The 27,239-nt window shown below is 37.7% G+C and overlaps 1 protein-coding gene across 5 annotated transcripts in view; it reads right to left on the reverse strand.

Moving 5' to 3' along the window:
• GPC3 (glypican 3) overlaps nucleotides 1-27,239 on the reverse strand; it is a 449,850-nt gene that overhangs the window by 164,911 nt on the left and 257,700 nt on the right. Inside the window, exon 4 of one of the 5 annotated variants that reach the window (NM_001164617.2) lies at nucleotides 3,550-3,618. The exons of the other annotated variants lie outside the window; for them this stretch is intronic. Within the exon in view, the coding sequence (NP_001158089.1) occupies nucleotides 3,550-3,618 (69 nt within the window). The remainder of the gene's footprint in view (nucleotides 1-3,549; nucleotides 3,619-27,239) is intronic. 5 annotated transcript variants of the gene reach the window in all.

Genomic DNA, 27,239 nt, shown 5'->3' on the forward strand with positions numbered 1-27,239 from the left:
CACTTGTGGCCAGGAGTTCAAAGCCAGCCTGGGCAACACAGCAAGACCCAGTCTCTGCAAAAAATAAAAAATTAGCCAGGCATGGTGGCGTACACCTGTAGTCCCAGCTACTCAGGAGGCTGAGGTGGGAGGATCGTTTGAGCCTGGGAGGTCACGGCTGCAGTGAGCCATGATTGTGCCACTGCACTCCAGCCTGAGTGATAGAGGGAGATCCTGTTTCTAATAAATAAATAAATAAATAAGCAAGCCAGTGTCATCACCTATGAATCATATATCATTAAATAAGCCCAGGATTAAAAGTATTTTAAAAACATAGGTGCTCAACAGTCTCCCTTTCTTCCTTCCTCCCTGTCTCCTTCTTTCCTCCCTTTCTTCCTTCCATCTTTTCTCATTCATTCATTCAAAAATATTTATTGGATATCTCTCGCTAAAGCTGACCTCTTTTACACTCATATAGCAATACTTTTTTTAAAATGGCATAATCTTTCTTACTTAGCTCCATTCTACTTGATTTTTTTGGTTTAATTCTTAGTAGATTTGCTACTTTTTTCACTTTCAAGCAAAAGCCTAAATGAACCTCCATATAAAGAAATATGAATATTAACATTCTTATATATCTCCCTTGTGCCAGACACTATGCCAACTATTATCATCCCCATTTTAGAGATGAGGAAATTGAGGCTTAGGGAGTTAAGTGACTTGCATGAGGCAGAAAAACAGTGGACTCACTTGTCTGACTTAGAACCCATTTATCTGACTTCAAAGATTATGCAACATTGCCTCCCTAGCAGATAATGCTTGACCTTCCAGTGGCTTACATTCTCCATTGTAGAAAAATATAAAGAACTACCAGTCCTCAAAAACATAGCCATCCAACGTAGCCAAGGTGAATATATGGACTGTAAACTTCAGGAAAAATATTAGAAATATCTGGCAAGGAGAAGGGTTGTATGTTTGTCACTTTTGTATTTCCACGCTATTCAGAATGGATTTTGTGCGTCTAAGTTAGGTGAATTAATTGAAGTGAATTGAAAGAATCTTCTATTATCAGCCTCAGTTCAGCACTCTACTTATAAGCCATGGGCTCTGTGTGGTAATCCCAGCTTCTGGATTTCTCAAGATGGCCCTGACAGCATTTACTAAGTTATCTATTTATACAGCTTTGGAAGGCTTTTCATATAAATAAATTCTCGAATTAGAAAAAAAAATCTAGAATCAGAGTAGCATCACCTTCATTTATAAAAGATAGCATCTATAGTTTGATATTCAGATGAGCTATACTCAATAGTTTATCTTAATGGGAATAAAACAAAAGCCGAAGACACTTAAAGACATTCAATTTGGCTTTGGAATGCATGATACTGAATTTTTCAGATGTGCTTATGTAATGCTATGTGACTTGAGCTAATATTAACTTCAAACGAAGCGTGTGCATTCCATGAATATGCCTTAACTAGTAGCAGTCTGGTAGGGTGCTTTAGGTCAGGGGCTGCCTAGCTGGACTGGGGAGTTAAGTTCCAATCATTTTCAAAGCATATAATGCAGATGCCAAATAAATGAGGGCAGACTGTGTATTACCACTTTCTGTCTGAAGACATATACATGTTTACTTTGTGAAAATGCAGGTAAAATTTCATGGAACAAAACCTTGATGTTTGTTCCATAAATATCTATTATTCTGTGAATAAACATTCATGTGAGAACTTATTTCAGTAGGATCAAAGTATTCTTAGCACATTCAAGAGCATAGTACACATTCTCTTGACCTACACCTGTTCCCAGTCCAGCACCAAAATCAAATCTTTCACACATCTTTCACAGTAACTTGTCTACTTGCAACCCACAGCTGTGAAATCTCCCTCCCCATTGAAAGTCAGCCCTTTGTATCAATGAATACTAATTGGTCCACAGAAAGACTTTAAAGTTTTTAACCCCCTCCCCCCTCACCAACCCCAACCTACTGGAAAGGGGTGCAGCTGAGGCAAAAGTAGGAAGGTTAAGAACAAATGATAATGTCGCCACTCTGCAGTCTGATCTTTCTTCCCAAGCCACCCAATATAGTATTATCAAGCCAACTTTCCAAGGCTCTGTGTGGGGTAAGGCGCAAACAATGGTGTCCTGCCAATAACCCTACTCCTCCATCTGAAATGTGCCACATCTTATCAGACAGGCTGCATTTTCCTCCACAAATCTACCATGAAGCAAATTCTTCTCATATACAAAGCATTTGTCAAATATATTCCCTCCTTTGGGCCCTTCTCCCTACATCTTTCACCTCCACACTATGTGAGCTATAGGTGAATATTATGAGCTTATTTTGAGAAGTGGACACTAAAAGAAAACATAACTTACAAAGAGATGCAGCATTCACATTAAAGAAGTCCTTTCAGCTTCACACTTGGGAAACATCAGGCTATGCTGGGAGACTTGAGTCTTATTCTTCAGCAGCCCTTACTGAAGAAGCCAGCCTCCCAAGTGGCATTTTAGAAATCAGTATCCTGCCCAGGAGTTTTAGGCTCTTAAATAAGAAGTGGAATCCAATTTCCTTTCGCTGACTAATGTATCTAGTCAAGGATGCTGCTACCTTTAAATTTGGTTAGTTGGAGGGAATTTATTGGATAGGTGAGTGTCTCTACCAAAAGACTGGAATATAAAACCTTTTTGTTTTCCATAGACCATGATTCCTAAAGGTGTTTTTATTTATGTGCTAGACTTTTGACAAGGAAAGCAATAGTGCTCTGCAGGGTTACAAGTCCTGAAACATAAGAAGAAGGCAGGGCCTCTGACCATATCCAGGCCAGGAAGTTTTTTTTTTTTTTTTTTAAGACAGAGTCTCACTCAGTCACCCAGGCTGGAGTGCAGTGGTGCAATCTCGGCTCACTGCAAGCTCTGCCTCCTGGGTTCACGCCATTCTCCTGCTTCAGCCTCCCGAGTAGCTGGGACTACAGGTGCCCACTACCACGCCCAGCTAATTTTTTGTATTTTTAGTAGAGACAGTGTTTCACCGTGTTAGCTAGGATGGTCTTGATCTCCTGACCTCGTGATCCACCCACCTTGGCCTCCCAAAGTGCTGGGATTACAGGCGTGAGCCACCGCGCCCAGCCAGGAAGACATTTTAGTAACCTTAGCATCATTCTTTTCTGCCAGGATCCAGAAGCACCGTCCTTGTACCTACATAAGGAAAATACACTGCTGGGACCCAGCAAGGTATAGATCAGGGGTGTCCAATCTTTTGGCTTCCCTGGGCCACATTGGAAGAAGAAGAATTGTCTTGGGCCACACATAAAATACTAATGATAGCTGATGAGATAGAAGAAAAATCACCAAAAAATATCATAATGTTTTAAGAAAGTTTATGAATTTGTGTTGGGCCACATTCAAAGCCATCTTGGGCTGCATGCAGCCTGCAAGCTGCAGGTTGGACAAGCTTGGTCTAGATCATGCAGAGCCCAGTAGGCTGGGCATCAGGAAACCTGGCCTACCACCCCACTTCCACCTCTCACCCACAGCAGGACTTCACTGTGACCTGGTCCCATAGCTTCACTCTACCTGTAAGTCTAGCCCTATACACAGGAAGAAGATAGGATATTTGAAGTGCCATATTTTCTTCTCAGTTTCCTTGAAAAAAAAAAAAAGGTGAAAATTACTTTCTGAATGGAGTATGTTATTGTAGGGCAGGGAAAATTTTATTTTCTTGACCTATGCCTGAGGAACCTGTAATAAAAGACAGATTAAAAAGAGAAATCCATACAAATATGTTTAATATAAGTTTTACGTCACACGAGATCCTTTAGAAAGGAAGACCCAAAGAAATGAGGAAAGCTGTGGATTTTTATGCTAAGTTTGTTAAGGAAATGGAGAGTGGTGAAGTGTGATTGGACAAAGAGGTTATAACTGAATGGAAATAAACTGGGGGAAACTTAGCCAGGGCAGTTTCTTCAGATTTTTCTCTGTGTCCCTGTAACTTTGGAGGTAAAGATGTTTCTTTCTTCTTGGTATAGGGTGGGCACCTCCACATGACGGTCTTACGACATACTTTAGAAGAGGGTCAGTTAGGTTTTATGACCTGCTTCATGGGAGAAGGGGTGAGGGGAAGGTGAGAGTGACTTTCTTGTTTTTGAAGTTTTCTTAAATGCAAAGGTGCCATATTTTGGGGTGGTGTGTCCTGAATCCCATTATTACCAAACATTCTGAAATCATGCAAAAATTTGATCTGATACAATTCACTCCTATACTCTATAATGAACATGTCAAGAAATGCGGCTACTCTATTGGTTAAAATCTAACTGTCATTCTCAGGCCCCTATTCACTGTTGGTTCTGGGAACTCTCAAGTGACAAAAAAATTCAGATTTGATCTTTCACTCCAGAACAGAGAAAGAGAGCCTGTATCAAAAGCTTCTCAACAATACCAACACTTCACGTTTCTTACACAATACCCTATTCCAACCTAGTGCTTCACAGATAACTTCTACATCCATTCTCCATTCTCTTCACTCAGTCCTACCAACAACCCTCTGAGGTATACAGAGCAGGTATTACTTATTTATTTATTTATTTATTGAGACAGGGTCTTGCTCTGTTGCCCAGGCTGGAGTGCCATGGTGTGGTCACGGCTCAATGCAGCCTTGATCTCCCCAGGCTCAGGTAATCCTCCCACTTAAGCCTCCTGAGCAGCTGGGACTACAGGCACACAACACCATGCCTAGCTAATGTAGCTAGACACGGGATCTCAGCATGTTGCCCAGACTGGTCTTGAACTCCTGGACTCAAGTGATCTGCCCACCTTGGTCTCCCAAAGCACTGGGATTACACAGAATGGGTATTATTAGCCCCATTTTTAGATATAAGGAAACTGAAGCTCACAAAAGTTGGGGAACTTAAAAGCAAGGTCACAATGTTAGTAAATGGTAGAGCTGAGGCTTGAATGCTGGTCTGTCTGATTCTAAAACCTATGTTTTTGTTTTCGATTTTCCCGTGTCATGGAGTTCTGTCACAGGCATAGGCTCTGGGGCTTCCCAGTATTGGGTGTGACCCAGGTCTGTGGTTATGTGGACACCTTACCTATAATTGGAGGACAGTAATAATGATGAAAAATTCTCTAAACATATTCCAAGAAATGGCTAAAGTTGTTCAACAGAAAACTGACATTCAATTTTAACCTAAGTTTCAGGTAGTATTTCAAGTGGCAGTAAGCCAATAGTGGGATGATTTAAATTCTTTGGTCTGCCAAGTAAGAGTGAATTAGTAACCATACGAAAGCACTGCATGTCAAATTCTATGGAAAAGGAGGCTCCCAAGTAGGTCTAGCTTGCCACTTGCTGCCTGCAGGATGTCCCTTGACCCTGGCTCCAGAATTCAGATTATTGGGTTGGCTACAAAATCTTCGGTAATTCCTACATTTAAAAAAATTCTGATGTCTAACCATCTGATCTTTGGCAAAGTTGACTCCCTATTCAATAAATGGTGCTAGGATAAATGGCTAGCCATATGCAAAAGATTGAAACTGGACTCCTATCTTTTACCATATACAAAAATTAACTCAAGATGGATAGATTAAAGACTTAAATATTAGACTTCGAACTATAAAAATCCTACAAGAAAACTAAGGAAATACACTTCTTGATATCACCCTTGGCAAAGCATTTATGGCTAAATCCTCAAAAGCAATTGCAACAAAAACAAAAATTGACAAGTGGAACCTAATTAAACTAAAGAGCTTCTGCACAGCAAGAGAAACTATTAAGGGAGTAAACAGACAACCTACAGAATGGGAGACAATATTTGCAAACTATGCATCTGACAAAAGCCTAATACCCAGAAGCTATAAGGAACTTAAATAAATCAACAAGCAAAAAACAAATAGCCCCATTAAAAAGTGGGCAAAGGACATGAACAGACACTTCTTAAAAGAAGACATACAAGTGGCCAATAAAGATATGAAAAAATGCTTATCATCACTAATCATCAGAGAAATGCAAATCAAAATCACAATGAGATATCATCTCACAGAATTTAGAATGGCTTTTGTTAAATAGTCTAAAAACAACAGATGCTGGTGAGGATGCAGAGAGAGGGGAACATTTACACACTGCTGGTGGGAGTGTAAATTAGTCCAGCCACTGCAGAGGGGAGTTTGGAGATTCCTCAAAGAACTAAGAGGTGAACTACCATTTGATTCAACAATACCATTACTGGGTATATAGCTAAAGGAAAACAAATCATTCTACCAAAAAGACACCTGCACCCATATGTTCATCACAGCACTATACACAATAGCAAAGACATGCTATCAACTCAGGTGCTCATCAATGGTGGACTGGATAAAGAAAATGTTGTACATATACACCATGGAATACTACTCAGCCATAAACAAGCATGAAATATTGCCCCTTGCAGCAACATGGATGCAGCTGGAGGCTATTTTCCTAAGCAAAGTAATGCCGGGACAGAAAATCAAATACTGCATGTTCTCACTTATTAGTGGGAGCTAAATGTTGAATACACTAATGAACATAAAGATGGGAATCACAGACACTGGGAACTACAAGAGGGCAGAAGGAGGAAAAGGGGCATGGGCTAAAAAACTATCTATTGGGTACTATGCTCACTACCTGGGTGATGGGACCATCCATACCCCAAACCTCAGCATCACACAATATACCCATATGACAAACCTGCACATGTACTCCCTGAATCCCAAAAAAAGTTATTTGAAACTGTGATGTTTTTATGTTTCTGAAACATATATTTAATATTTTGTAGGAGAATCCTGTCCTTATGTAACACCAGTGTAATTAAAACATCCAAAGGGAGAAAACCCAGATCAATATTCTGGGTTTAACAACGATGAGAGATTCAACAAGATGAGGACCTAGTATGTACTGTGTTTAGTAAATTTAGATGATTGATAATGATGACATGAGTCACTTCAGCAGAGAAGTTCTGAAAATAAGAATCATAAGATGTAGAATATATGGAGAGTAAGCAAATAGATGGAAAGCATAGGCAGTTATTTTACATAAAGGTTATGTCATGTATCTTATTAAGTATAATTAATATAATTAATAGTGTGTTAATTATCCGAGATAATTTTTTAATGGGGGGGCAGAGTTTATGCTGCAGTACATTACCTCTTTTGGTTGCTGTACTCTTTTTTTAATTAAATGTTTTGAGACCCAATATACATAAAATGCATCCCTAAATTGTAGTTTGATGAGATTTGTAAATGTATACACATGTGTAAACACTACCTCATAATGTAGAAAATATTGTCATAATTTTATAGTGACTGACATTTTAATCACTACAGATGAGATCTGTCTTTTTTAGGATTAGATTGATAACAGAAAGAAAGAATAGAAATATAGAAAATAAATATGGATAGATTCGGTATTTATGTCTTTGTTTCTGCTTTTTTGCTCAGGATAATTTTTTCTTTGAGGAACTCTATGTTGGTGGTTTACCAGTACTTTTTTCTTTTAATTGCTGAATAAATATACCAAATATGTTTACACATTTGGGTAGTTTCCACATTTTTGCTTTTGTGAATAAAGCTGCACTGTTTACTCAAATCTTGCCATTTCATTTTCAAATATATGTTTTGTAAATACTCCTTCCCATTATCTGGTTTTTCACTTTTCTTAGTGATGCCTTTTGCACAGAACACTTTTTAAAATTTTTTGATGCACCTGATTTTATATATTTTTGCAGCTTTATGATTGATGCTGTTTTCCATCCAAAGAAGCCTTTCCATATGGCAATGTCACAGACATATTTTCTTCAGAACCTTTATCATTTGTACATTTATGATGAGGTATTTAACCCATTTTGTGTTAATTTTTGTATATTGTGTGATGTAAAGATTGCTGTTTTCATGGCCTAGGCGATGGGATCACTGGGACCCGAAGCCTCAGCGTCGTACAATATACCCATGTAACAAATCTGCAAGTGTACCCTCTAATCTGTAATAAAAGCTGAAACTATTTAAAAAAGAAATAAAAGAAATCTATCTTAAATAAAATTTGTACATGGCTAGATATTACTTGTTGATTTCCCTTTCACTGACATTTCTACTTCATTTCACAGTGCTTAAATCATATGACCTGTTGGATTTCTACTTTCACAAAGTTAATGACATTTTTAGGCCTAATGCTTTTCCTTTAAATATTTTTCTCTGGTATTTAAAAATAATGTGTATGCTCTGTTTATCTGTCATGAATGCTATCCATTTGTTTATCTGATTAACTTGTCAAACTTTCCAAGTTATTTAACACTCAAGAAATAATGATTATGTTTTTCCAAATATTTATCAGATTGTTTCAGTACAATTTGTTAAGATCATTTCTCATTTAGTTACTTCAATTTTTTATTTCTTTAAACTTAATTGGCCATGTTTGTGGATCTATTTCTGAACTCTATTCTGTTTATTTAAATGTTTGTGCTTATGCAAATATATCATTCTCTTAATTGAAGTGTTATTATAATGTCTCGAATTCAGCTAATAAAAGTTCATCCAACTTAGAAAAAAAAGTGCTTTTCTGAGAAATGTTGCCAAATACCATTTAAATTTAGTCTTGGATCATTGATGGATTCATCAGGACCCTAAAGAATTAAAACTAAAACTTCCTTTGGGAGTTATGCAATTTAATTATCAACTCTGATCTAGTTGTCTACTTTGGATGAGTATTACCTGTGGCATTCGCTTTGTGGTACCTTGGGGCTGAAGGTGGAGTTGGGTGGGAATTTCAGTTTTTCAGTTAAAATAAAATGATGAATTTCAGTTCATTCTCTTGAATCATCTATCATACCACTATACAATTTCATTTAATTAAATCTTAAAAGTTTAAAAACAATATATACATTGAAATTATGTGATATACAACATAAACTTTTTAATAGTAGCAACCGTGCCCATTTAACAATTCTACAGGTATAATAAAAATGCTAATATATGTTAATGTTTAGACTGTGGTTAATGTTTTGTCTTGTTAATTTCCCCAGGGCTTTTATTACTGATTTAAATCTGCCACACTACTCAACTGATTGCACTGCTTCCACAAACTGCATGGAGGTAGCTCAAATGAATACTGATTAACAGAAATGAACAAACATTTGGCTAAGCAAACCATTCTTATTATATGCTTGTAATCATTACATACATTTTCTTACAATGAGATGGGCATGGCAGGCATTTTCCTCTCACTTTTCCTACAGAAAATATGCATATGAGCATTAAATTAATTTATAACCTTGTACTTCAGGAAGAACATCATTATTAATTAACTATTGATTGATCTGATATACAGCACAGAGGATAATGAACAGACCTGGTGACAATGTAAGCATTTTTTTCTTTCCTCACCTTTCAGACATTTTGCTGTGACTCATTGTTAATTGCTTGACCATTAAGATAAAAGCTCACTAATAATCTGTAATGTATTATAAATCAAGCAATTTTAAGAAATCAAGTGCTATTATTTGAACATTTCATACATGTTAGTTCTTGAAGTAAATTGGAATCCAAAAAAGGAACAAATGTCCTACAGATCAGCCTGCTGCTAAATTGAACTACAGCATGGTATTATCGTGAAAGGAACACACAATTTGGAGTCAGGATACCTGGGGCCCAGTGTCAGTTCATCCTCTTACCATTTCAATAACTCTAGACAAGTCATTTACTTTCCTTGAAACTCAGCCTCCTCATCTGCAAAATGAAGATAATTAAAATGCCTGCTGGACCTGGCTGTAATGTGAAGATCAAGCGAAACAATGGTTGAAAGTGTAATGTCTCCCCCAACCAGATAGAAATTTGATTCATTCTTAAGTGGGGACTACTTCCTTCTGCAGCCTGCTTTGTGTGTCATAATCCTGGTTCAGCTGGTCAGGAACATGGGTAGCTATATGTCCCTGAAAGGGAACCACATGGAATTTGCCCAAGTCTGGCAGTCACACAATTGGGTCCGGTCTGCTCTGGAATATCTGGAATATCCTCTTCTGTTCTTCTAATCTCGAATTACCAATAGGTGGTACGTGACTTTGGCTGTTTACCCTGTGTCTCATACCCACATGCTTTTGTCTGAGGGGCTGAATGCTGTAGGGATGGGAGACAGGTTTTAAATGCTCCTTATGTAGAAGAGACTTATATTTTGCTAATTTATATCTGCCACAAACAGAGTCTGAGCTGAAAGCAGAATCCTGCATGTGTGCCTAACACTTCTTATGCATTACCAATCCCTTTGCAGCACCAGGAGTTCATGACATTATTATTTAACCATGTGAAACCATTAATGTGCAGATTAAAAGAGAACTTTGTGTAGTAAATCAACTCAATACTGAATTCAAATACCACTCCCCCAAATATACTCATCTCCTTGTGTCCTTTGTCCCAGTGAAAAGGAATTACCTCCTACTCAATTGCTCAAGCCAGAAGAAACCAAATAATTTCTGGTGATTTCTCCCTCCCTCTAACTTCTCTACATCCAGACACGAAGTCTTGTTTATTGTCTCTTATAAATAACCATTCAATTTGTGAACTTTTCTCTACCTTTAGGTCTAGGATTCCATCAACTGTCTCTTAGAGCAGTGCTTCTCAAACTTTAATGTGTATACAAATCACCTGAAAATCTTATTCACAGAGTTTCATCTTCAATAGATCTGGGGTGAAGTCTGAGATGATTAGCAAGGCCCTAGCATAGTGGTTCTCAAAGCATGGTCCTAAAATAAGCAGCATCAATACCATCTGGGCACTTGTTGGAAATGCATTTTGGGGCCAGACTTAGACCTACTGAATCAGAAATCCTGGGAGTGGAGCCCAGCTTTTAACAAGCCCTTCAGGGGGTTCTGATGCATACAAGTTGGAGAACCACTGCCACACAGACCATCCCAACGGCCTCTTAATTGGTCTCCAAAGCTCCAGTTTTGACCTCCTCCAATCCATTCCTTCCAGTTCTCTGAGACCTCTCGGGAGGTCCTAAAGGGCAAACCTATTTTCATAATAATACTAAGACTTTATTTGTCCTTTTTACTCTTATTCTCTCACAAGTATACAGGGGAAATTTCAAGAGGCAACATGATGTAAAGTGATATCACTGTTCTGAAATATGTATTTGTGCATTCTAGAATGTTCTAAGGGAGCAAGTAAAAATACATGCATTTTCAGAGTTTACCTTATACCCAGAACTGAGTGCTCTTACTGGCTATCTAGGTTATGCAAACCATAATCTTTGTAACCTTCTTATCATTTAATAAATTGTTATTTGGAAATCTAGAAGTTTTGTATCTATGTGAAAATATATGAAGTGAAAAAATTTTGTAGTCTTGTTTTGCAATAACACTTTAAAATATTTTTTGAAGAATATAAATTTTAAATTTTTTCTGTAACTTATTGGACGTATTATACAATAAGATAAAATTTATTTGCAACATGTTTTTCTGATATTTAAGAATGGATGATTGGCTTTGAAAAAGGAGATTAGAAGACTTACTTCACCAACCCACAGCAGCAATGTCTATGTCTAAAACTGATAAAAACATGTCAAAACAACTTATCACAGAGTTCTGGCTCATGGAAGAGAGGGATCTACTCTGTAGATTACAACTGTAATTAAGAAACAAATATACAACAAAAGCTGTCTTTTCCTTGACCTTATAGACATGCATAATTTATCTTGTTTTTCTGATGCAAAAGAACATTTTGGAATAGGATATTAGAGTGTAAGTTAAATTGTAGAGTCATCTTGAAATTAATTACTTGGAGTTTAAAGAAAATGAAATTAAACATTTAAAGTAAATGTTATGAGCTCTTTAAAAGTCAAAAGTGTTTGTTATGGCTTTTCCAAATAGAAACGAAAAACGCACTGAAACATACTGTAGGGTAAGTTACTGCATTATATTAGCTGTAGAAGTACACACAATAGTGGAAAAACTAATAAACCCCTGTAGAGGCCTGCATGATGGCTCACACTTGTAATTCTAGCACTTTGGGAGGCTGAGGCGGGCGGATCACTTGAGGTCAGGAGTTTGAAACCAGCTTGGCCAACATGGTGAAACCCTGTCTCTACTAAAAATACAAAAAAAAAATTAGCCAGGCTTGGTGGCAGGCACCTGTAATCCCAGCTACTTGGGAGGCTGAGGCAGGAGAATTGCTTGAACCCAGGAGGTGGAGGTTGCGGTGAGCCGAGATCACACCACTGCACTCCAGCCTGGGGAAAAGAGCGAGACTCCCTCTCAAAAAAAATAAAAAATAAAAAATAAACCCCTGTAGATTTGACATTGCTGAATGCCTGCTGGGTGAAAAGTCATAGAAGAAATCATGCCACTCTCCAATGATGGAGAAACAAACTCATCAAATAAAAGGTTTACTTGCAAACATAAAGCCCTCTTTAGTTAATGTCTCTTCTGCAGAATGTGTTTTTGCCTTATAAATGGACAAATCTACAGATTTGGGGTGGAATTGCTGTTTTGCTTATATTCATCCAGTATTAAGCACTAACTAATCATTAAAGAAGATCTATTATGTGAAAGCTTTGGGAAAAAAAACCATGAGTGGTGCTGAAATATTCAAAATGTTAAATAGCAGTGTTAAAATTCATGGTTTTCCCTCAAACAAATGTGATGAAATTTGCACTGATGCAAAAGCTATGGTGGGTAAAACTGCTTGCACTTTATCATAAGTCAGGGTAGTGACACCAAACTGCAATAGTAGTCATTGTAGTTTTCACTGCCAAGCACACACATTTTAAAAAAAGCTAGTTTCACTTAAGAATATACTTGAAGAGGCAGTAAAAGTTAATTTCATCAAATCTTCACCCTTGACTACATGTCTTTTTTGATATTATGTGTGATGAAATGGGAAGTATGCATAAAGTACTTCTGGTACATACTAAAGTATGATGGTCATCTAGAGGAAAAGCACAAGTGTGATTGACTTGTGAGATGAACTGAACACTTTTTAAATGTAACACTATTTTTACTTGAAAGAAAAACTGACAGACAAACTCTTATTCAAACTCAAGTATTTTGTAGGCATTTTCTTGGAAATGAACAAAGCAAGCCTGTTACTTCAAGGAAAACAACTGACAGTGTTCATAGCCAATGATAGAATTTGCACTTTCAGGTGAAAATTAGAATTTGGGAAAACTTGTTATCTTCTACTATGAAACTTGACAGCTTCCCAATACCTGAAGGCTTTTCTGATGAGAACAGAGGTGACACTAATGAATATGAGTTTTGACGTTATATAATGAAGTGTGTTAATATTTGGAAAATCGGCATAACTCAGTGAGCCAAAATTTTTCAAATGACCAAGGCATCATAATGGAAAAATCACACAATGACTAATAATTCACCCAAAGTGTAAGATAGATTTTAACATAACAGAAAATGAAAAGTCAATTGATACGTTTGCAGCTTCCATATTGTAACTAACCTTTAAGAAAGTATCACTTGCCAACTTCTTGTACAGTATCAGAGAAAATATCCCTAATTGTCAAAAAAGGGTATTAGGACACAGTTCTTCTTCCAACTGTATATATTTGTGAGACCAAATTTTCCTCAGTCAAACCAGATTGAGTGCAGAAGAAGATACGAGAATCCAGCTGTCTACCATTAAGGAAAAAATTAAAGAGATTTGCAAAAATGTAAAACAATGGTATTCTTTCCACTAAAGTATTTTATTTTGGAAAGCATATCTTGAAAAAACACATATGAGTGTCTGATTCCTTTATTATTAACTTTAAATGAATTAGTAAGTAAATACTTTTAATATTCCTAGTTTTAATGTCTAATACAGCAAATAACAATAGATATAACTCCATCGACATCTCTTTGGGGTCCTGTATAGCTTTTAAGAATGTAAAGGGTCCTGATACCATAATCTCTGCTCTACACTAACATCCAAAATAATCTGAAAATAATAATTTATAAGTACATTATAAATTAAATTATTTATAAATAAATAAAATGGCATTAATGAATAACATATTAATTCATCACCTACTATGTGCTGGACAGTGTTTTAAGTGCTCCTCCATAAAAGCAATGAGAAAATTGGCAAAAACATTCAGAACCAACTTCTTTGGAGCTCTGGAATTTAATAAAAGTATTTGCAGCAATCCGAGAAGCATTTATTCAAGAAAATGGCTGAATGTCAGTAGGAACAGTGAGCGTTGTGGCATTTTAACTTCCCTATTCTCATTCCTCCTCTCCAGTTCTGAAGTACTTTTGAAAACTAACAGCCCACATTCATGGTGAAATCTAGCATCCTGGCAGCCACTGGAGGGAGCAGAATGGGGTTTGTAATGGTTAATACTGAATGTCAACTTGATTAGATTGAAGGGTGCAAAGTATTGTTCCTGGGTGTGTCTGTGAGGGTGTTGCCAAAGGAGATTAACGTTTCAGTCAGTGGACTGGGAGAGGCAGACACAACCTCAATCTCTGTGGGCACCATTTAATCAGCTGTCAGTGTGACTAGAATAAAGCAGGCAGAAGAATGTGGAAGGCACCAGACTAGCTGAGTCTTCTGGTCTTCATCTTTCTCCTGTGCTGGATGCTTCCTGCCCTTGAACATCAGACTCCAAGTTCTTCAGCTTTTGGACTCTTGGACTTAACACCAGTGGTTTGCCAGGGGCACTTGGGCCTTTGGCCACAGACTGAAGGCTGCACTGTCAGCTTCTCTACTTTTGAGGTTTTGGGACTTGGACTGGCTTCCTTGCTCCTCAGCTTGCAGATGGCCTATTGTGGGACTTCATCTTGTGACTGTGTGAGTCAATACTCCTTAATAAACTCCCTTTCATATATGCATCTATCCTATTAGTTCTGTCTCTCTAGAGAACTCTGACAGGTTGGAGTTCTTTCAAAGCTACACTCAGTAAACTGTAATTATTTGACCTGTCTGATGGTTACCTAAAATACCCCATTTGCAAGGCTGTTTTTATTTGAACTGATATTGAGCTCACCTGTGCAAAAGCCTTTTCCCTGGAGACATCTGCTGAACTCAATTAGAGGTAATTATTTTACTTTGTAGCTGCCTGAAGCAAGGGGACAATAGTTAGAGCAAATAATAGGCTAACCAAAAAATTTTCAGGAAAATCCAGGTAATGAGATGTCCATAAGTGCTATAAAAGCTACATATTCCTGGGGATCTAGTGGGTTACACTCAAGCATAAGGCTGTGTGCATGCCAGATCAAGAAAGATCTGAGAAAGCCCTATTCCCTCACCTTTGACTGACCTTGAGGTTCTGTGCAAGGAAGTGAAGGCTAAGGCAGGGTCTTCAACTGCTAGGCTGAATGTTAAAGGTGTGCCCAGCATACACAAAGAGCACTTCAGCAAAGACTGAGAGACTTACTGGTTCCAGAAAGTTAAGGAAAACACTGTTCAATCATTAACTTACTACCACTAAGCTAACTGAACAAAGACTTCAACGGCTACACATGACAAAGAATACAGACTTTACAGAATTGGTTGAGAAAAGTGACAAAGAAATAAGAACTACCACCACAATAACAAACACCAACAACAATGCCTGAGGATAGGGGAGAATCTGATTTCCAGAGATACTACATTATATTCTTTAAATATCTAGTTTTTGACAAAAAAAAATTACAAGAGATGTAAAGAAATAAGAAAGCATGGCCCATCCACAGGAAAAAAATCAATCAACAGACACTGTCTCTCAGGAAGCCCAGATATGGGCTTTATTAGACAAAAAACTTTAAACTAGCCATTTTAAATATGTTCAGACACTTAAAGGAAACAATGCCTAAAGAACTAAAAGATGGTAGGAGAATGATGCCTTGATAGGCAAAAAGATAGAAATTACTTTTTTTTAAGAAGAACCAAATAGAAATTCTGGAATTGAAAATTGTAATAACTAAAATTAAAAGTTCATTAATGGGGCTTAGCAGGAAATTTTAGCATGCAAAAGAAACAATAATCACATTTGAAGATAGATCAATTTAAATTTTCCTATCTGAGGAAGATGAAGAAAAAAGAATTAAGGAAAATGAGTAGCACCTCAGAATCCTGTGGAACACCAGTAAGTGTGCCAACATACATATAATGGAAGTTTCAGAGAGAGAAGAGAGAAAGAAAAAGGCAGAAAGAGTACTTGAAGAAATAATGGCTAAAAGCTTCCCAAATTTGATGCAAAATATTAATCCACACATCCAAGAAACTCAGTGAATTCCAAGTAGACACATAATAATCAAAATGTCAAAAGACAAAGATAATCTTGAAAGCAGCAAGAGAGAAGTAATTCATTGCATTCAAAGGGCCCTCAATAAGATTAACAGTTGCTTTTTTTTTCTTGTTTTTTAATTTTTTGAGACAATATCTTGCTCTGTCGCCCAGGCTGGAGGGCAGTGGCGTGATCTCAACTCATTGCAACCTCTTCCTCCAGGGTTCAAGCAATTCTTGTGCCTCAGCCTCACGAGTAGCTGGAATTACAAGGCACATGCCACCAAGATCGGCTAATTTTTGTATTTTTGGTAGAGATGGGGTTTCACCATGTTGGCCAGGCTGGTCTCAAACTCGTGGCATCAAGTGATCTGCCCACCTCAGCCTCCCAAAATGCTGAGATTATAGGTATGAGCCACCGCACCTGGCTATAGTTGCTTTCTCTTCAGAAAGTATAAACACAAGAAGGCAATGGGATTAAGGGAGGAGACCACCCCTCATATTGTCTTATGCCCAATTTCTGCCTCCAAAGAAAGAAGAAGTAAAAGCTAAAAGGCAGAAATGAAATCCACAAGCAGACAGCCCGGTACCACACCCTGGTCCTGGTAGTTAAAGATCGACCTCTGACCTAATTGGTTATGTTATCTATAGATTACAGACATTATATAGAAAAGCACTGTGAAAATCCCTGTCCTGTTCTGTTCCGTTCTAATTACCAGTGCATGAAGCCCCCAGTCATGCACCCCCTGCTTGCTCAATCAATCACAACCCTCTCACGAGGACCCCCTTAGAGTTGTGAGCCCTTAAAAGGGACTGGAATTGCTCACTCGGGAAGCTTGGTTGTTGGAGACGTGAGTCTTGCCAAAGCTCCTGGCTGAATAAAGCCCTTCCTTCTTTAACTCGGTGTCTGAGGGGTTTTGTCTGTGGCTTGTCCTGCTACAGGATGATATATTCAAAGCACTGAAAGGAAAAAAACATCACCCAAGAACTCTATGATCATCAGAAGTATACATGAAAAATGAAAGTGAAATTAAGGCATTCCCAGATAAAGAAAAATTGAGAGAGCTTATCACTAGCAAATATATACCACAAGGAACACTAGAAGGAGTCCTTCAGTATGCATCCTGTAATGTAATTCACACAAAGAAATAAGGCTGAGGTGGAAGGATTGCTTGATACCAGGAGGTGGAAGCTGCAGTGAGCCATGATTGTGCCACTGCCCTCCAGCCTGGGCAACAGAGTGAGACCCTGTCTCTAGAAAAAAAGAGAAAGAAAGAAGAAACATCCACAAAGTTTACTATATAGGTTAATATGGAAAACAGTATAAATATATTTTTGGTTATAACTCTTTTTTCCACCTATCTGATTTAAAACACAATGCATAAGCAATAATTATAAATCTGTGTTGATCGGAATACAATGTTTGAAAATGTAATTTGTATGACAGTAACAGCACAAGAAGGGGGAAGGGAATTAAGCTTTACAGAAAAAAAGGGATTTACATGCTATTAAAATCAAGTTGGTATTAATCCAAATTAGATTGTTATAAAATGTTAGTTGCAATTTCCAGGGCAACCCCTAAGAAAATAACTTTAAAAATATGGTTAAAAATGATAGGAGAATAAAACCATTACCCTAGAAAATAACTATTTAACACAAAAGAAGGCAATACTGGACAAACTGAGAAGCAAGACATAAAGCATTTAGAAATCAAGTAGAAAATGACAGATATAAATCTTACCTTATTTCATTACTTATTCATTATTACTCGTTTTATTACATTAAATACAAATGGATTGAACACTACAATCAGAAGGCAGGGATGGGCAAAATAGATTTAAACCAACATGATGCAAGTCTATGCTGTCTACAAGAGACACACTTTAGATTCAAAGACACAAATACGTTGAAAGTAAAGGATAGAAAAAGATATACCAACTAGAATCAATAGACATCAAGAGTGGCTGTACTAATGTTGGGGAAAATACCAGACTTTGAGACAAAACTTGTTACTAGGGACAAAGAAAGACATTTTATAAAGATAAATGTGTCAATCTATCAGGAAGATAGAATAATTATCAACATATATGTACATGAGCCCAAAATATATGAAGTAAAACTACCAGAATTGAAGGGAGAAATAGATCATACAAAAACAATATTTGGAGTCTCCAATTCCCCACTTTCAATAATGGATAGTTCAAACAACTAGGCAGAATATAAAGCAAATGGAAGATTTTAACAACACTATAAGCCAACTAGATCAAACAGACATCTATAGAACACTCCATACAACAGTGGTAAAACACAATTCTCTACTACACGTGGAACGTTCTTCAGTACAGGGTACATGTTGGGCCACAAAACGAGTCTCAAATTTAAAAAGTTTGAAATCATACATTTTCTGACCACAATGGAATAAAATTAGAAAACAATAACAGAAGAAAATTTGGGAAATTCACAAATATGTGGAAATTAAACATACATACTCCTAAATAACCAATGGGCCAAAGATGAAATGATAAGGGAAATTAGAAAACCCTATGAGGTAAATGAAAATGAAAACACAACTTAACAAAAATTATCATATGTAGAGAAGGCAGTGCTTAGAAATTTATGGCTGTATTTTTTCATGTGTTTTTTGGCTGCATAAATGTCTTCTTTTGAGAAGTGTCTGTTCATGTCCTTCACCCACTAGATGACGAGTTAGTGGGTGCAGTGCACCAGCATGGCACATGTATACATATGTAACTAACCTGCACAATGTGCACATGTACCCTAAAACTTAAAGTATAATAAAAAAAAATAAAAAATAAAAAAAAGGAAATTTATGGCTGTAAATGCCTATATTAAAGAGAAGGACTTTAAACAAAATAAATAAATGGGACCTAATTAAACTGAAAAGCTTCTGTATAGCAAAATAAATAATCAGCAGAATAAATAGACAACCCACAGAGTGGGAGAAAATATTTGCAAACTCTGCATTCAACAAAGGACTAACATCCAGAATCTACAAGGAACTCGAATCAGAAAGAAAAAACAAATAGTCCCATCAAAAGGTGGGCAAAGAACATGAATAGACAATTCTCAAAAGAAGACAAACAAATAGCCAACAAACATATGAAAAAATGCTCAACATTATATCAGAGAAATGCAAATTCAAACCACGATGAGATACCACCTTACTCCTGCAAGAATGGCCATAATTTAAAAATAAAAAAATAATAGATGTTGGTGTAGATGTGGTGAAAAGGGAACACTTCTACACTGCTGGTGGGAATGTAAACTAGTACAGCCACTATGGAAAACAGTATGGAGAGTCCTTACAGAACTACCATTTGATCCAGCAATCCCACTACTGGGTATCTATCCAATATATGAAAAAGACACTTGTACACACGTTTATAGCAGCATAATTTGCAATTGCAAAAATATGGAACCAACCTAAATGCCTGATATGGTTTCACTGTGTCCCCACCGAAATCTTATCTTGAATTCCCACATGTTGTGGGAGGGCCCTGGTGGGAGGTAATTGAATCATGGGGGCAAGTCTTTCCCATGCTGTTCTCCTGATAGTGAATAAGTCTCATGAGATCCGATGGTTTTATAAAGAGGAGTTCCTCTGTACAAGCTGTCTCTTTTTGCCTGCCGCCATCCATGTAAGATGTGACTTGCTCCTCCTTTCCTTCTGCTATGATTGTGAGGCTTCTCCAGCCACATGGAACTGTAAATCCATTAAACCTCTTTCTTTTGTAAATTGCCCAGTCTTGGGTATGTCTTTATCAGCAGCATGAAAACAAACTAATACAATGCTCATCAACTAACAAGTGGATAAAGAAAATATGATATATATACACCATGGAATACTATTCAGCCATATAAAGAAACAAAATAATGACATTTGCAGCAAGCTGGATGGAAATAAAGACCATTATTCTAAGTGAAGTAACTCAGGAATGGAAAACCAAATAGCGTATGTTCTCACTTATAAGTGGGAGCTAAGCTATGAGGACGCAAAGGCATAAGAATGATATAATGGACTTTGGGGACTCAGGGGGAAGGGTGAGGGGGGTAAGGAATAAAATACTACACATTGGGTACAGTGTACACTGCTCAGGTGATGGATGCACCAAAATCTCACAAATCATCATTAAAGAACTTCTCCATGTAACCAAAAACCACCTGTTCCCCAAAAACTATTGAAATAAAAATTTTTAAAAAATAATGAGAAGGGAGATCCCAACTCAGTAACTTAAGCTTCTACCTTAAGAAACTAGAAAAAAAAAAATAGCAAAGTAAACACCCAAACCAAGCAGACAGAAATATAGACTAAAATGGAAATAACTGAAATAGATAATAGAAAAACATTAGAGAAAATGAATAAAAGTAAAAGCTGGTTCTTTGAAAAGATCAACAAAACTGATAAACCTTTAGGTAGATTGATAAAGAAAAAAGAGAAAAGACCCAAATCACTAAAATCAGGAATGAGAGCGAGGACACTACTAGTAACTTCACAGAAATAAAAAAAAAAAATGATCATAAGAGAATACTATGAACAACTTTATGCCAAAAAGTAGATAACTTTGATGAAATGGACATATTCCTAGAAAGACTCAAGAAGAAATAGAAAATGAATAGATTCATAAATAAAGAGGCTGAATTATTAATTTAAAAAGCCCAGGTCCAGAGGCTTCACTGGTGAGTTTTAGCAAACATTCAAAGAATTAACACCAATCCTTCATAAACTCTTCCCAAAAATAGAAAAGGTAGAACACTTCCCAACCCATTCTCTGAGGCCAGTATTACCCTGATACCAAAATTAGACAAAGACATCCTAAGAAAAGAAAACTACAGACCAACATCATTTATGAAGATAGGCTTAAAAATCCCCAACAGAATCCTAGCAAGGCTATTCCAGTAACATACCCCTGAATTTGGACCCCTACTTCACACCATATACCAAAATTAAATAAAAATTAAGTGCTAAATCTGTAAAACTCTTAAATAAAAATTTTGTACATTTTTGTAATCCTGGATTTGACAATGTCCTCTTAGATATGACAATGAAAGCACAAATAACCAAAGCAAAAAATAGATGAAATGGACTTCATAAAAATTAAAGCACTTTGGGGCTTCAAAGGAAACTATTAAGAAAATGAAAAGACAACCTACAGAATGAGAGATAACGTTCTCAAATCATATATCTAATAAGGATCTAGTACTCTAAATACAAAAGGAACACTTACACCTCAACAATAAAATCATAATATTATTATGCATACGGATACAGTCTGATGAGCCCCTTTATAGTCTGTAACTTATCTGATATTGACTAATATGTACCTGTATTTCATTTTTCAAAGTTTGTTACTATTCACCTGTCTGTTCCTATTTATCATATACAATTAAGACTTGAGTCTGATTTAAGATGTTTTTTTCTGGGAATGCATGGGAATGGCATATAAAACCAGGATTGACTATCATGGAACATTACATACCACCCTATCACAGAACCCCAAATCACATAAAACAATGTCACTGCCTTTCCAATTTACAAGGTTCAGAGTACAGGATACCACCACATAGCACGGTATGTTAGAAGAGGCCAAATTTTGATCTTATTTTCTCACTGTCATTCAATTATTAAAGGCTAAAGGAGTATTACAGGCTATAAAGGAAAATATTAAAGTGCAACATATGTCGTTTTCATAATTCATTTGTCATGCAAATAGTATAAAACACTATATTTAACCGGGCATCATTCCTAAAATTGTACAGGAAGCTTTGTACCTGGTAGGCAGCAGTGCTGTTGCAAAATTGCTCTGATTGTAACTTCAGCCAATCCGATTAGCCACAGTCCATCTAAATGAAGATATCATCTCTGACCAATACCTTGGGTCTCTGTTGATTGCCTTGCACTGTAAGCAGACCTCTGCTGATTGGTTTTAGCAAAAGTTGTAATCAGAATGGCTGAGAAACACTTCTGAGATGAATTTTGAAAAGGATATGATTGAAAGGAGAGGAAAAAAAAATCAGGTGAATTGAGAAGAGTCTGACCCCTGAACAAAAACAGCACAAAGAGACTCATCTTGCACATTTCCCTCTGTGACAGCAGCATTACACATTGCTATCGTCCCGGGCCTTCCTGTCTACAGATGTTATTTTCACTTTCCTCCGATCGCTTCTTTTGATCAGTTCCTAAAATGTCAGTCATGGTTTCTTCCACTTAGAATTGACTTCTCTCTTTGTCCATTCTATCAATGAGGTGACACTATTTTGGCAGCTTGTGATTTCCCCCCTAGTATTTGCACAACTTCAGCTGCCCAATAAAACTTTGTGCATCATCTAAAACTGGCTTTCCCCTGTTGCCTTCCATATGTCTAGACTCACAGACACATGGACATCGGAGCTGGCAGAGACTGTGTGACTAGTTAGGGCAATTCTCCCTTCTACAGGTAGGGAACTGAGGCCCAGAAAAGGGCAGGGACTTGCACATGGCCTGCTTCTGGAATTCTTCCTCAGTTGAATTTCACTTTCAGCAAACAGAGTTCAGAGGCTTCCCCAAACTAAATGTATTTTAAACACAAACACAAATGGTAGAATGTTTCTGTTTTGTATTATCTGTGCTCCTCGCCTGATATGGTTTGGATGTTTGTCCCCTCCAAATCTCATGTTGAAATGTGATCTCCCATGTTGAAAGTGAAGCCAGATAGGAGGTGTTTGGGTCATGAGGGCAGATCTTTCATATATGTCTTGGTGCCCTCCTCGAGGTAATGAGTGAGTTCTTGTTCTGAGTTCATGCAAGATCTCGTTGTTTAAAAGAATGTGTCACCTTCTCCCTCTCTCCCTTGCTCCCTCCCTTGCTATGTGAAATCTCCTGCTCTCTCTTTGCCTTCTGCCATGAGTGGAAGCTTCCTGAGGCCCTCATCAGAAGCAGATGCAGGTGCCATGCTTCTTGTACAGTCTGCAGAACCGTGAGCCAATTAAACCTCTTTTCTTTATAAATTACTCAGACTCAGGTATTCCCTTATAGCAATGCAAATGGCCTAACAGATTTCCTTATCATTAGTGTGAATAATCAAGAGATAGCTGTTTTATTGCTGTGCAGAAGGAACTGAGGGCATCCCAGACTACTTTCGTGAAATACATATAGTAGATATTCTCATAACTAACACTTAGGTTGGGCAAAGTCCTTTATTCTTTACAAAGCACTTGTCCACATTACGTTATCACATGGAGCTTTGTAACCAGCCCTGTGAGGTAAGATATCATGCCTATTTTTATCAGCTTAGGTTCCAAGAGGTTAAGTGATTGCCCAAGGCCACACAACTAGTAATGGACAAAACAGGGCCCTGAAACCAGGATCTACAACTTCAAAGCCTAATGCGTTTGCTCGCAGTCTTTACTTGAGGAAACCCTTTGGGAATAACTGAGGATCAAAGATTCAACTAGCTGAAGGTAATTACTTAGAAGCTATGGTCTTCAGGAAGATGGAAATAATAATTAACAGAAAGAGAAACAGACCTGACCAAGTGTTTTCTCTATTCCTACCTTAAGAATGAATCGTCTCAAGTGATACCTACATTATAAGAATCTCCAGTTGGACATGGGGGCTAAGGAGGAGGCTCTATTTTTCTTTATGCTGAAGAATAATGAAGACTTTGCTTGAAATGTATCTTAGGAGCCCCAGTTTGAAATTTAAAAGCCACTAATCATTCTTTCTGGGACACCGAATTTGGGATGTGAATAACAAAGTCTACAGTGCTAGCCTGCTACTGAGATTGCATGCCATTGGTAAGGTCCCTTCTCTTCTCTGGGTCTCAGTTCCCCCAATTATAGAATGAAAGGGATTGAATTAAATATCACTCTCAACTCTGGAATCTTATAATTCTATTGATCTAAGAGCAGGACTAGTGAAAGGAATGGGAAGTAATTTCCCTTTGAAAATAGAGGATGCCTCCTTTTCCTATCACCCTGCCATTTTGTTCCTGAAGAATTTGCAGTAGCCATAATAAAGGTAATACTTGGACAAGAGCTTTGCTCTTTGTGCCACAATCTTTTAACAGTCTTCATAATTGAGCATAGTAATAAGATAAACGAAAAATAAAGAAATAGCTGTTTGGAGGTCATGCATGGGGCTCCTGATAGGTATTATCAGGTCAGAAAGGCTGCAGTCTGTTAGGACAACACATTACCTCAGGCAGTTGGGGTCCAGAACAGATTTGAGGGTCAGTAAAGCAACAGAGAGTCTTCCATTGATTTCAGATGCCCTTTTATGATGCCCAGAATATTGTTAATATAAATAATCTCAGTTCTGCTACTGATTCAATGTGGACAAATCACATAACACAAGAGAATTCTCAAAGCAAGTTGATTCTAAGAAGGAAAGGTGCTTTTGGCAAAAATTCTGGCCAGGCACAGTGGCTCATGCCTATAATCCCAGCACTTTGGGGAGGCCAAGATAGGAGGATCGCTTGAGCCCACGAGTTCGAGACCCGTCTGGGCAACACAGGGAGACCCTGTCTCTATTATTATAAAAAAAGAAAAAAATCCTGTTGTAACATCAGATTCTTCCCATGTGGGTATTGCCTGAACAATATCAGTGATTCCTATTACAAAATATTAGTAGACACAATTATGCTGTTTCCACAGTTTGCATGGCAGCTGCACAATTCCATTTGGACTAGGGACACCTGAAACACATTGTTCCACCTGAAGAAAATCAAATTACTTCATCTTGGAGTTGACTTACAGGGAGTGAGAGAAGAGCCTCAAAGACATAGGTCTAGAGGAGGGCAAGTGTGATAAAAAATGAGTTATTGTGAATATGACCAAACAAGGGAGGAAAAGCAACACTTGGCTACACATAACTTGTGTTAATAATTCTTCCAGCTCTTCCAAGGAATCGGCCCCCAGCCTATTATCAAGAGGAAGAGAGACAAAATGAGATTCTCACCCTTTACAACTAGGGCGCAGGTACTACTGTTGGTAACACTGCCATGGAGAACAGGCAGCTCAGACACTAGAAGTCCAATAGAGTCACTGGGAAAAGACAAGATGATGATTAGCTTCTTTTGTGTTGGCTTTCCTTTAGCAACTTTTGATGAACTGACAAATCAGCAGGCCTCTTGCTAGCATCATGAAATCACATATATCTAGATTCAAAGAAGGGGAGTGAGACTAGATACATAAACGCTCTATCTCCTAGGTTTTATTAAAAACTCATTGCTTGGTGCTAAGAAATATCGCAAAAGATTGCTTTTCTAATAAAGGCAATCTCTTCATTCTCTGTTTGCTTATCTAGGTTTCTGTAATATACAAAACAGTATCTGCCTCACGTCCTGCCATCCTGCCAGAGCTAATAACATACATGAATCAGAAATGGATTGTTTTGATCCAAACATTGGCAGCTGGGTAACAAAAAAACCTAGCATTCAGGTTACAACTCCTCTGCAAAAGGCTGCTGGGTAGGGCTCCCTTAGGACATTGTCTCAAATATCAACTGTAAGACAGGGAATCCAGATTAATGAGTCATCATAAACACTGAAAAAGCAAATAATGATAATAAAGACACAGGAAGTAGCAATGACTACATGAAGTTAGCATTCAGTTGTCTCGATCACTCTAAAAATACTGCTTGTACAAATGTCTAAGGAGCAAACCAGCCTGTTAGGAATTCCCTGGAGTCTTTTTGCTGTCCCCTAATTATTCACTTCCGTAATCACTCATCTGCCAACTCTCTCAACCTCTTCTTATGGAGTCCCTCTCAGCAGGCAGTCACTCTCTTATTACCTCACCTTCCTACTCTTGATCCCATGTGCTCAAATATTCCTTCTCCCCTTCTTCCCACCTGCTTCCAGGTTCACAAATCTTTCTGTTGGCTCTCATTTCTCCAAAAAACAAAACAAAACAAAACAAAAACAAACAAACAAAAAACAAACCGAGTGGCCACACTGGCCACTGTAAAAGCTGGAGCACCCATGTGCTCTTCCTATCAGGAAACTCCCTCCGCACCTGGATTTCCTACTTTCTGATTTGCTCCTCTCTGCATATTGACATCATGACTGACACCTGTATGTTCCTTGTATTTGCTCCTAGGTTACAGACTCAGCAACATGGGCCAGGAAGCAAGATGCTTGACTTGAGTTTCTGTTTCCAGGTCTCCTGCTTCTTCTCAAAGGGAAAGGCAATAAGGGAAAGGCAATATTTTACTCCTCTAAGCCTCAGTTTCCTCATCTGTAAAATGAGGGAAATAAGAAGTTCCACTTTATGTGTTTGTGGTGAGGGTTAAATGAATGAATATATATGAAGTGTCTAGCACAAAGTTTGGTACATGAAAGGCACTTAATAAGCTGCAGTTCCCTTCTCCCCCATCTTTATGACATGCCAACCTTCTCACACCATCTTCTAAAATTTTAAAAAGTGATATGTGGGCTGTGTGCGGTGGCTCACGCCTGTAATCCTAGCACTTCGGGAGGCTGAGGTGGGTGGATCACTTGAGGTCAGGAGTTCGAAACCAGCCTGGCAAACATGGTGAAACCCCGTCTCTACTAAAAATATATAAAAAAATTAGCCGGGCATGGTGGCAGGTGCCTGTAATCCCACCTACTCATGAGGCTGAGGCAGGAGAATCACTTGAACCCGGGAAGTAGAGGTTGCAGTGGGCCGAGATTGCGCCATTGCACTCCAGCCTGGGCAAAAAGAACGAAACACTGTCTCAAAAAAAAAAAAGTGATATGTGGCAACTTTTAACATACTTCATATTCTTCCTTTTGACTCCTTTGCCATGGTTATTTCCAGATCCCTGTTCTCCTCTACATGCATCTCCCCATCTGGTTATCTGTTTCTTCACTGGTAAAAGAATGAGATTGGACTAAATAATCTCTAAGGATCTTGCAAGTAGCACCACTGTGGCCACAGCCTGGGTTCCAATGTTTCTTAGGCAATCAAATGTTATAACTACTTCCTCATAAATAGGTTAGATAATGATAGCACATCATAAAGGAAATTATACAAAATTCTGAAAGGCATTTTTTTGTTCTGAATTTGTCTCTGATCACCGG

This window comes from Homo sapiens, chromosome X (genome assembly GCF_000001405.40).
Source record: "Homo sapiens chromosome X, GRCh38.p14 Primary Assembly".
NCBI lineage: Eukaryota > Metazoa > Chordata > Mammalia > Primates > Hominidae > Homo > Homo sapiens.